The 12,185-nt window shown below is 46.2% G+C and overlaps 1 protein-coding gene across 2 annotated transcripts in view; it reads right to left on the bottom strand.

Moving 5' to 3' along the window:
• The window catches only part of HTT (huntingtin), a 169,280-nt gene that overhangs the window by 49,054 nt on the left and 108,041 nt on the right, over positions 1–12,185 (bottom strand). For both annotated transcript variants that reach the window (NM_002111.8, NM_001388492.1), the window contains 3 exon segments: positions 5,814–5,956; positions 7,021–7,256; positions 8,188–8,310. In NM_002111.8, the coding sequence (NP_002102.4) occupies positions 5,814–5,956; positions 7,021–7,256; positions 8,188–8,310 (502 nt within the window).

Below are 12,185 nucleotides of genomic sequence, written 5' to 3'. Positions count from 1 at the left end.
TCCATTGCTCCCAGCATTATAATTGTTAGTAGCCCTGTCCTTTCCCCAAGCATGAACTTGAATCAATGTCAACTTTATTACTATAGAAAGGACCACTTTCTCTCTCTTCCAGTATTCCTGCTTTGCCCCAAAAAGTGGAACCACAGACGCTTTGGAAAGGACAGGGAAGAGCTGTCGTGCAGCCATCCCCTCTGCCACAGAGGAAGGGGTGAGCATGCCTCCGTGAGCGTCATGGCACATCTCCACCACCCACGACCAGGACTCAGGGAGGAAGGGGCAGCAGCTCCTGCCACCCTGACTGGGTATAGTCTGGATGGCAGGCAGGGAAGAGCACAAGATGTGTCCTTGAAAATCACGGTGAGCAAAGCTGGAAGGCCGTGTTGAGGCTACAAGGCCAGACAGCTCTAATTCAGCCACATGGACAACAAACAAAGCTGATGTTTCCACCTCCTGGGCCTCTGGTGCCATCATCTGTTTCTAAACCAGTCTATCTTGGACCAAAAGAGAGGGATGCTGGTTACCCCAAATGTTGTAAACAGGAGGACAGCTATCTTTCTTGGCTATTCTGCTTATCCTAGATGGAATGTGAAATAGGCAAACCACTTTGGGATGAATACCCTCCTCTCCCAACAAGAGGAAAAGCAGGAAACAAAAAGTCAAGGGTGCCATTCTGACTAGTTCCTGAACCAGGTATTATTTAAGAAGTACCCACGCCTGAAATGGACAAATTTAAAGGTCTTCATTTTCGGTTTATGGGTGGAATTCATAGCCTTTGTTTAAGCAGTACGTGAATACATATTACCAATTTTACATGCTAAACACACCTTACTTATATAAAAACACGAGATGAATTATTTCAACTCTTATCTTGAAACCAATCAAATACAGTAATTCTGCCACCTAGTGTCTTTCAAATAAATGCAGTCAAAGGAAACAAGAAGACAGAAACACACATTTATATATACACACACACACAACTTACTTGCAAATGTTGGGCAGATTAAATAAGGTCAAAAGATACCAGCAGGAAACCCACGTGCCCTCTCCAAGCCCTCCACTCCCACCAGTAAAGCTGCTTCTCAACAGACCTGCACTGTCTCATACAGGAGCCACTATCCACACAGAGCTGTTTAAATTTAAGTTAATTAAAATTAAATAAAATTATAAATTAAGCTATCCAATCAGACCAGCCACATTTCAGGTACAGAACACCACATGTGGCTAAAGGCAACTAAATTAGACAGTGCAGACATCCTGTCTCTGCTGGAAGTCCTATTGGACAACACTTCAACAGTAACAATATTTTGCCTCAATTGTGAGATGGAAGGAGAGGAAATCAGCGCAATAAGACAGTGACCACATTTGAGCTGCACAGAGATCGCTCGGACATGTAGAAGGACACAGAACACACCACCCTTATCCCACAAAGGCAAGACTAGTCCTTAGAAATGAGGCTGTCTCCTCCTGGCATCAAATCCAAACCAACTGGTGGCAAAATATTAAAATGACCAACATACTAAAATTGACCTATCATTCATTAACAAGCCATATTTTCTCAACTTTAAACTTATTACAGTGGTCAGTGAAGCATAATCCGAAGATCTTTAAAAAGAAACAAGAAAATTATTTCAATAATAGCAAGTAAGGCTCAAAAACTAGAGTCCACTATGAAAATTAAATTTTGGCCATGGCCTGTGCGGAGGGTGACAGCAGCTGAATGCAGAGGCCATGAAGAGGCCCCTTTCTCCAGGATTCTGTGGCGCCGTGCGGCCGGGCCCTACCGGCATCCTGCCTGCCTGCCTGTACTCTCAGCTGCTCTCTTGGGTGCCGGAACTCTTCTCTGCAAAAAGCTAGCTACTTCTCTCCCTCAGAAATCCTGCCTCTGCCTGCCCACCCATTTCGTCTGTCACTGCACTACTGTTCTTCTTCATAGGAAATATCAAGACTTGTGATACTGACGCACTGACTGGAAGTTCCGTGCAGGCAAGAGCCAGGATGCTCAACTGAACTTGGCACAACCAGAGCCTGCTAGCATGGAGGCGGGCCACGCCAAGAGTATCCTCAAATGGACCAAGGCTGAAAATGCTATCTTTTACTCTAAGATATGTATGCAAAATGTGTACAAAAATCCAGTAAGAGAAAGGAGCTTTGATCACAAAAGCACCCTGCTCCCATCCCTTTTTAAGGCAACTACTTGTTATCATTTCTGTTTTCAGTTCTGGTAGTTACCTCCAAAATTCTAACTGCTGTGCTGCTATCCCTTGCAGCAGACCATCAGTTACTGCATGTGCTCCTCTCCCTTACTCCCGGAGACCAGCCCCACCTCCTCATCAATGGAATGCTGTCCAGTCTCCCATTTGGCCCATGTGGACCAGAGCATTCAGGGGTTTATGGTCACCCATATTACTCATGCAAGGCCAATCACATAGGCCTACTTGAGGGGCTGAGAACACAGCCTGCTAGAGGTCATCTTCGGTCATGTGAAAACAGCCCACCAGAGAACAAAACTAACACAGGAAGCAGAGATGAGACTGGGCGTGGTGGGTGACACCTATAACCTCAGCATTTTGGGAGGCAGAGGCAGGAGGATCGCCTGAAGCTAAGAGTTAAAGACCCGCCTGGGCAACACAGCAAGACTTCCATTTCTACAAAAAAATTTTAAAACCTATCCAGGCATGTTGGTACATGCCTATTGTCTCAGCTACTTAGAAGGCTGAGGCAGGAAGAACTCTAGAGCCCAGGAGTTCGAGGCTAGAGTGAGCCTCGCACTGCACTTCATGCCACTGCACTTCAGCCTAGGCGACAAAGTGAGACCCTATCTTTAAAATAAAATTTAAAAATTATATAAATGAAAAGAAGAAAGCAGAGCTGAGATGCATAAATATACAATGCAGACCACAGAATTACAACACTAGATGCAGTCCTACCAACTACCCTTGCCTGCACTTTCCAGGAGCTTAAACCAACACATTCTTTCTCTTACTCTAGTTTAAACTGGGGTTTTATCCCTGCAACTGAAAGACTGTTGAATACAATCACCACATCATAATTTGTCATGATTTATAGACTTCAGACAACTTTAGACATCACCCATTAACTCTACCGTAATAAAGATGAGATTTAGCTCATTTATACTACCTCCTAACAATCTGAATTACATGTTTAGTTCTATTTGGAGACCTCTGAAGCCTCTATATTTTGGTCTGTCAACTTCAGATGATGTAACCATATAATCCCAACAATGCTAGGTGAAGATTTTAGTTCCCCTTCCACTCCCCACCTCTATCTCTACCATCTACTTGCCAAATTAACTTGGTTAGTTTTCCTTTTATATTCATCAGAACCGAAGACATTTTCATTCTGTTCTGAAACCATAATTAAGTCAGTAAGTCTTCAGTGTTTCAGTCATACATTGATTTCAAAAATGAAAGCTCGGGCCGGGTGCGGTGGCTCACACCTGTAATCCCAGCACTTTGGGAGGCCGAGGCGGGTGGATCACCTGAGGTCAGGAGTTCGAGACCAGCCTCAACATGGAGAAACCCTGTCTCTACTAAAAATACAAAAAATTAGCCAGGCGTGGTGGTGCATGCCCGTAATCCCAGCTACTCGGGAGGCTGAGGCAGGAGAATTGCTTGAACCTGGGAGGCAGAGGTTGCGGTGAGCCGAGATGGCACCATTGCACTCCAGGATGGGCAACAAGAGTGAAACTCTGTCTCAAAAAAAAAAAGAAAGAAAGAAAGAAAGAAAGAAAGCTCAAGCAGTATTTACATTATGACTATCTGAATCTAGTTCCCAAGAGAGCCAAGGATCCTAGAAGGATGGCATCTCTTTCTATAGGTCTTTGATCGTGACTCCTAAGCCGCTTAAAGGAGAACCTTTTTAATATCAAGGGCTTCCAACAGATCAACTGCTGAACAATCAAGCCACATTTTGGTTTGCCTCATATTTGGACCATGACTTAATGCTGTTTGCTGTTACTAGAAATTAGAATTGCCTTTCTATTTTCTTGAGAGAAGAAAGACGTGCCTATCCCCTAGAACTAGGCTTCTAGCTATTTAGTCATTTATTTAAAGCAAAGCATTCTCATTACAAACGATCGTTCTTCTTGGAAAACACACTGTCCTAATTTGGACTGGCTGCTTTCCATGCTTGCTGCACAGCTGGCATCTTATGACTTTCTTGGGTTCACTGTCCTTGTCATTTTCTTTCTCTAGAGACATGGTCTCGATCTCGCCCAGGCTGGAGTGCAGTGGCATGATCATGGCTCACTACAGCTTGACCTCCTGGGCTCAGGCTCATGCCACTACTCCTGGCTATTTTTTTTTATTTTTTTATTTTTGTGGAGATGGGGTCTCTTGCTATGTTGTCCAGGCTGGTCTCAAGCTCAAGCGATCACCCCGCCTCAGCCTCCCAAAGTGCTGGGATTTCAGGTGTGAGCTACCATGCCCAACCTTCACCGTCCTTGATCATTTGTAAAAGTAACAAAAACATCTTGGCCTCCAAATTTAACACAGGAGGAGGAAGCTCTCAGGTTTACTTTTTTTTTTTTTTGGATTTTTTTTTAATAAGAGGCAGGGTATCATTCTGTAGCCCAGGCTGGAGTGCAATAATAGCTCCCTGCAGCCTCGAACTCCTGAGCTCAAGAGATCCTCCCACCTCAGCCTCCCAAGTAGCTGGGACTACAGGCATGTGCCCACCATATCTAGCTAGTTTTTGATTTTCTTTGTAGAGATAGGGGTCTCGATATGTTGCTCAGGCTGGTCCCAAGCTCCTGGCTTCAAGTGATCCTTTTACCTTGACCTCCCAAAGTGTTGGGATTACAGGCATAAGCCACTGTGATTGGCCCATCTTAACCATTTTTGGCTCTTGTCTTGTTTTGTTTTGTTTTTTTGAGGCAGGGTCTTACTCTATAGCCGAGGCTGGAGTGCAGTGGCATGAACACATCTCACTAGAGACTTAACCTCCTGGGCTCAAGCGATCCTCCAGCCTCAGTCTCCTGAGTAGCTGGGACCACATGCACACCACTATCCCCGGCTAGTTTGTTTGTACAGATGGGGTCCTACCATGTTGCTGAGGCTGGTCTCAAACTCCTTGGCTCAAGCAATCCTCCTGCCTTGGCCTCTCAAAGTGCTTGGATTTCAGGCATGAGCCATGACACCTGGTCCTCTTAACTATTTTTAACTGTACAGTTCAGTAGCATTAAGTACATTCATAATGTTATACAACCATCACCACCATTCATTTCTAGAATAACTCTCTTCATCTTGTAAAAATAACTCCCCTCCCCTGCAGCCCCTGGCAACCACCATTCTACTTTCTATATCTATGAATTAACTACTCCAGGTCCCTCATGTAAGTGGAATCACATAGTATTTGTCCTTTTGTGACTGGCTTATTTCATTTAGCATAATGTCCTTAAGGGTCACCCATGTTGTAGCATGTGTCAGAATGTCCTTTTTTTAAGGCTGAATAATATTCCACTGTAAATATACACCAGATTTTGCTTATCCATTCATCCATCGAGGGACACTTCAGTTGGTTCCACATTTTAGCTATCGTGAATAATGCTGCTATGAATGCTGGCATGCAAATATCTTTTCACCACCCTGCTTTCCATTCTTTTGGGTATATACCCAAGAGTGGAACTGCTGGGTCACATGGTATCAGGTGTACTCTTACAGCAACAAATATTTTCAACTGGCACACTGGGCAAGGCAGAGTTTCTACCGGGCAGCACAGCTCCTACACTCTGAGAGTGTATAGTGCAGAATGGGGAACGAGACACTCCAGGAAGACTAATGTGATTCACCTACCAGACTTGAAGATGTGGATCAGACACATTAGCAGTGTGCCTAGTTCCTGGCAATAGAAAGTATGTTGCTGCTCACTCATTTCCACCTTCAGCTGTTTTGTAACAATGTCTTCTAAAAGAATACCAACCAGTTGTAATAGAAACCTTCCAAGAAACAAAAAAGATGACAGTGAATTAGGTGACTACTATAAAGCACTTACGCCAAGTATACATGAAAAGATATATGGTAAATATAAAGTAAAAATATAGGTAGAGTACATTAACCGCTAAAGTGAAATGCAGAGCGCCGTCGCCGTGGACACAGTCACTTGGTCTCTCTGTGTATCACCTTCCTCACTGAGGATGAAATGGCAGGTAGCATTTTTTTAAGCTTTGTGAACTGTACACCATTACACAAATACAAGCTGATCATCTGTCACAGGAATTTAATGTATCATCAATTTTAGCCAGCTGCTTCAATGCGACACAGGGAAAGCCATGGGCTGCCTGCTGAACCTGCAAACCAAAAGGTGCCCAGCAGGCTTACTGGGCTTATCTCCTTCGACAACACAGGGCATCTCCACTGATGACAAACCAAGTGAAGGCTGCATGAAGTCACAGCCACTTAGCAGAAGCAGCACATTTGCAGAAGCAGCTCTAACTCAGTGAATGCTCAGAATCTAGCAAAGGTGGAGAGGGACCCATCTAGGCAGCAAGCACTTACGAGTGCCTCATCACTGTCCTTGGGGAGCTTCCAAACAATTTATGAGGGAAGACAGGATTTGATACTACACGTATTTATTGGAGGCAGGCTGCCCTGCAGGGAGAAGACTTTTATTACTGACAGCGTGTAAAACTGCCAGCACATGGTGACAATCTGAGACTCACTTTTACTGGCTTCTCTTGGGTTTCAACTTCCCTGACGTCAGCGTGCCCCTACTGCCTGCCCCCAGGACAGCCACCCCACTGCCCTGCCCTGCCTGAGGCGAGCCACTGCTGTAGCATCTCTACTGAGGACAAGAGACAGAACATGACAGAACTTCAAGACAGGTATGAACCAAGAGCCATAGATAATGCAGGACGGATTAGAAAATTACACTGATACAGACTTCTTTACCCAACTCAGAAGTGAAGCAAGACCAGGTATTATTCCAGACTTACTGACTGTGAAACATCACGTGACTTCCCAAAAGGCATGGGTTAGTTATAGGCTCAGATAGAAAGCATACCTTGAAAATGTTTCTTCTGGCAAATTCTTTATTTGTTTCCCTTCACTGTGTTCTTCTAGCGTTGAAGTACTGTCCCCATCTCTTAACCTATTAATTACTGTACAGGAGATTAAATACGGAGAGAAGGAGAGCTCCTGAATACGAGAAAGAACAATATCTTCAGTTGACTGGGAAATCAGAACCCTCAAAATGGCCAGAATTCCCGATATCCACAGTTGAACAGTGCTCACGGACGCCTAAAATAAACATAATACATAAGTCACAGCTGAAGAAAAAAGGAAGATTAAATTTCCCCCAATTGCCAATTTTGTGAAAGAAAATAACTCCTATTTTACTATCCTACCAATAAACCTCTCTATCACTGAGTCCCAAAGTGTGCTCCCAGAAAAGCAGGCATTAGTTTCACCTGGGAATTTGCTAAAAATGCAAACTCTTGGCTTGGTGCGAGAGCCACCTGTAATCCCAACACTTTGGGAGGCCGAGGCGGGCGGATCACAAGGTCAGGAGATCGCGACCATCCTGGCTAACACAGTGAAACCCCGTCTCTACTAAAAATACAAAAAATTAGCCGGGCACAGTGGCACGCACCTGTAGTCCCAGCTACTCGGGAGGCTGAGGCAGGAAAATTGCTTGAACCCGGGAGGCGGAGGTTGCAGTGAGTCGAGGTAGCGCCACTGTACTCCAGCCTGGGTGACAGAGCAAGGCTCCATCTCCAAAAAAAATAAAAAGGCCGGGTGCGGTGGCTCACGCCTGTAATCCCAGCACTTTGGGAGGCTGAGATGGGCGGGTCACGAGGTCAGGAGATCAAGACCATCCTGGCTAACACGGTGAAACCCCATCTCTACTAAAAATACAAAAAAATTAGCCGGGCGTGGTGGTGGGCGCTTGTAGTCCCAGCAACTCGGGAGGCTGAGGCAGGAGAATGGTGTGAAGCTGGAAGGCAGAGCTTGCAGTGAGCCGAGATCATGACACTGTACTCCAGCCTGGGCGACAGAGTGAGACTCTGTTCCGCACCACCCCCACACCAAAAAAAAAAAAAAAAAAAAAAGCAAACTCTCAAGAAGCCCTACCCAAACTGACTGACTCAGACATTCTGGGGGTGGTCCCAGTAATCAGAGCCTGAACAAGCCGTCCAGATTCATCTGCTGAGCCAGGCGAGAGACTCACCATTGTGTTTGGAGTGACGAACATACTCCGTAAAAGCATGTCTACCGGACGGAGGGAGGAAGGGGCCAAAATCTCAAATAATGTATTTAACACTCCAAGGGCTTCATGAGAGTCAATGTGCATCTGTGGAATTAGACACCACAAACATTTCTACGTAAGCCAAAAGAAACGACAGCTTCCTGTACACCAGCTATGTAACTCAAGGGCAAATCATCATAATCATCTCATCGTCACCTTCCCTCATTTAAAAGCATTTTAAGTTCAGTGGTGAACCAAGCAAACATTTTTACAACAACACTGTATAGCTACATTTTTCCCATAACAGAAATCTTGTCATTTAGATTTTTATTACATAAATAATAAATGCTTTCTGTAAAAGACTCAAATATACAAAAGTGTGAAAAAAAATCAACTAGCACTGCAGCACCCTGACACAATCATTACCAACATTTTGGGGACCAGTCTTCCAAGCGTCCCTTTGTATACACATACATGGGATGGTGTGCACTTTTTTTTTTCTTTTTCTGCACTCCATCCCTCCCACAACAGTTGTAACAAATGCTAAGTGGTGTGTGTATATCCCTTTCTTAATCTGCCCCATGTTCCTATAGCCATATCCTTGCCCCCTCACCCACAGAGGTTTTGTTTTAGTTGTTTTGAAAAATCATAAACGTCTCTGCTCTTCTCACTTAACCCAGTGCAATGGAGAACTCCCAAGGCAACTGGCTGAACTTCCTTTCTTCCTTCCTCCCTCCCCTTCCTCCCTTCCATTTCTTCCATTTATTTCCTTCCTTCCTTCCTCCCTCCCTCTCTCTTCTTTCTCTCTCTCTCTTTCTAACAGAGTCTCACTCTGTGCCCCAGGAGTGCAGTGGCGCACGAATGGGCTCAAGTGATCCTCCCACCTCAGCCTCCTGAGTTAGCCAGGACTACAGGCGCACACCACCACACCCAGCTACTTTTTGTATTTCTAGTAGAGACAGGGTTTCACCATGTTGCCCAGGCTGGTCTCAAACTCCTGAGCTCAAGCAATCTGCCTGCCTTGGCCTCCCAAAGTGCTGGGATTACAGGCATGAGCCACCACACCTGGCCAGAACATTTTTAATCATGCAAAATAGCCCAAGCTAAAATAGTCTAAGCTTATACCACAGTGTGTTCAACCATTACTTATTGATGGTGGGCACTGACTGTTTCCAATTTTTGTTTCTACTGAGTGTGTATACATAGTAAACAACTCTGCAAACAGATGTGGTGTTTTTCAAGGCACAGATGTGAAGCTCACAACACTGGCCACATCTTACAACAAGGGAACAACTGACTTGAGCTCCAGGATTCCTGCATCCTGGACCCTCGCCTGTGCTCACCAACTCTGCCTCCTCCCCAGCAACTCTGGGAGAACCCACAGTGCTCTGTCATCCATGCAGCCAATCCTAACCCATGTCTGTGAACACCACAACGGCGATTTGTGTCTCCTGTGTCATGAACTGATCCTCCCTGTTGCTTCTGCCCTCAGTGCGTAAACAGGCCTTCATTTCTGCCAACTTAACCCATTGCCGACTCCTCTCCTCCTCTGGCTACTGCCCTATTTCTCCGTTCCCTCTTCAAGTAAAACCTTTTCCCAAGTCTCTCTCCTGTCCTTTCAGGAACACATTCCCATTAGGGTTTGGCTCCCTTTGCTCCTCCAAAAGCACTCATCAGTGCCCTCGGTGCTGCCAAACCTGGGCCAAGTTCCCAAGGTGCTGACAGCAGATGTCGCCCTCCTGCACAAAATGCCTTAAAAAAAATCTTGGCTTTAGGAACCCCACACCTGCCTACTCCCCCTGCCCCAGCACTGGCTCCCCTCACCTACCTGACCTTGGAGCTGGGACTCAGCAGGCTCGGTATTCAAGCTCCTCCTCCTCTCCAGCCAGTCTGGGTCCACTGTGAGTGGACATCTCAGATGCTGACCCCCTGCCCCACAGTCTCTCGACAACTCCAGGCTCATACACCTGATGCTGGCCTCACCTCATTAGGCACCTATGGGGTCTCAACTGCTACATCCAGACAGGCTCTGACCTCCTGCTGCCCCCAATGTCTGCCCTACCTTGTCCACAGCCACCCTGTCCTCACCCTGAAATCACCCCCAAAGCCCTGCTCTCTCTCACATGCCACATCTAAGCCACCAGCAAACCTTGCTGGTTTTGCTTTCATGCTGCCAAGGGATGCTGACTTGGGCCATTCCACTCCAGTGCCGGGTCTCACATGGGTGGCCCTGCTCTGCCCTCACCTCCCCCTCAAGGCTATTCTCAACTCAGGAATAAGAATGATCCTGCTAAAACCTACACCACATCAGCGCAAACCCTCTCAAGGCTCCTCCACACTGGCCTCACCCCACCAGGCCTCACTCCCTTCCCTCCCCATGGCTGCCCCACTCCTCCACCCTCATTGCTTGTACCCTAACAGCATGTCCGCCCCCCGCCAGGGCCTTTGCACTGCTATTTGCTCTGCCTGGAATGTTCCTTCCCCAGGTATCTCCTAGGCTTGTATCTTTCCTTTCTGCAAATTCACTCAAATGTCACCAGATCACCAAAGCTTCTTCTCATCACCAGCTGAACAATGCCACTCCCACCGCAGACACCACCTAACTCTCTTCCCTCCTGGATTCTTCTGTACGGTGTTCCTGATCAGCCGCCATGGTATAGACTTCACTCACTTGCTTTTCTATTGTCTGTCCCCTTACCCGCATCCCAACAAAATCTTCACTCCAAGAAGGCAGGGGGTCTTTCTTTAATCTGCTTTGATCACTGATGTATGCACTGCCAGTAACAGGATAGTATCTAGCACTACTTCTGAATGCAACATGCACCTGTGGTGAGCTACCTGGCAGGTGCTGCACTAAGCGTTTCATAAATGTTGTATCACACAATTTCCATTGCGGCAGATATTAAGTCAGGTATTTACTATGTATTCAGGCCTTCGATCTCCACTCTACTCAGATTACGCACAGAAAAGAATGGGATAAAGCTTCCAGGGCACCATTCTAAAACCATCTGTAGGCAGGGAGACCCTGACCACACTAAAACTGCTGTCAATCTCACCAGAAGCCAAGATCCCTGTCCTGTTGTCTAACTGGTCTCAAGATAACATTCCATTATGAAATCAGAATGGGGGTGCAGTCATGAAGGCAGTAACATCAATATCACATGCCTCTAAGTTTAAATCAAATGCCAAAAACCACGGACTACTCGTACTATACAGAGTAGTTGTTTATTGTGTATAATCAAGATGAACAAACATGTATTTGCTGAGTCCACTTAAAAGGCAACCTCAAGCTGTGCCAGGCAGCTCATGAGATTTTCTGGCAGAGCTGCCTCAAGGAGGTCCCCACCACCCTTCTCTGTGAGCTACAGAGGTGCTGCTACACTGGGGGCACAGTGGCCTGTGCCTGACTGGGGGCAGGCTGCTTCTGAAACTGGCACTGCCAGGCCATTTCCTTCCACTGCAGTTGTGGAAACAATGATTCATGTCATTTGATCATAGAAATTCTGATTAGTGATGAATAGGCCAGGCGAGGTGGCTCACACCTGTAATGCCAGCACTTTGGCAGGCCAAGGTTGGTGGATCACTTGCGCCCAGGAGTTTAAAACCAGCCTGGGCAACACAGCGAGACCTCATCTCTACTAAAAATACAAAAAACTAGCCAGGCGTAGTGGTGCACACCTGTGGTCCTTGCTACTCAGGAGGCTGAGGTGGGAGAATTGGTTGAACCTGGGAGGCAGAGGTTGTTGCAGTGAGATTACACGACTGCACTCTAGCCTGGGTGACAGAGTGAGACCCTGTCGGAAAGGAAAGGAAGGGAAAGGAAAGGAAAACTGCTAAATTACAAGCAGTAAGGTAACAAAAACAAAAATCTAACCACCAAATAAAACACTGGGTTGACCAGAATGCAGGAGGCAGTGTAGGAGGTAAGGGTTCGGGCTTTAGAGTTAGCCTTGGCCCGCCCTCACCCCAGCACTCTAAAG

This window comes from Homo sapiens, chromosome 4 (assembly GCF_000001405.40).
Source record: "Homo sapiens chromosome 4, GRCh38.p14 Primary Assembly".
In the NCBI taxonomy this organism is placed as follows: Eukaryota; Metazoa; Chordata; class Mammalia; order Primates; family Hominidae; genus Homo; species Homo sapiens.
The sequence above is the reverse complement of the archived record's forward strand: the minus strand, read 5'-3'. Positions and strand labels throughout refer to the sequence as shown.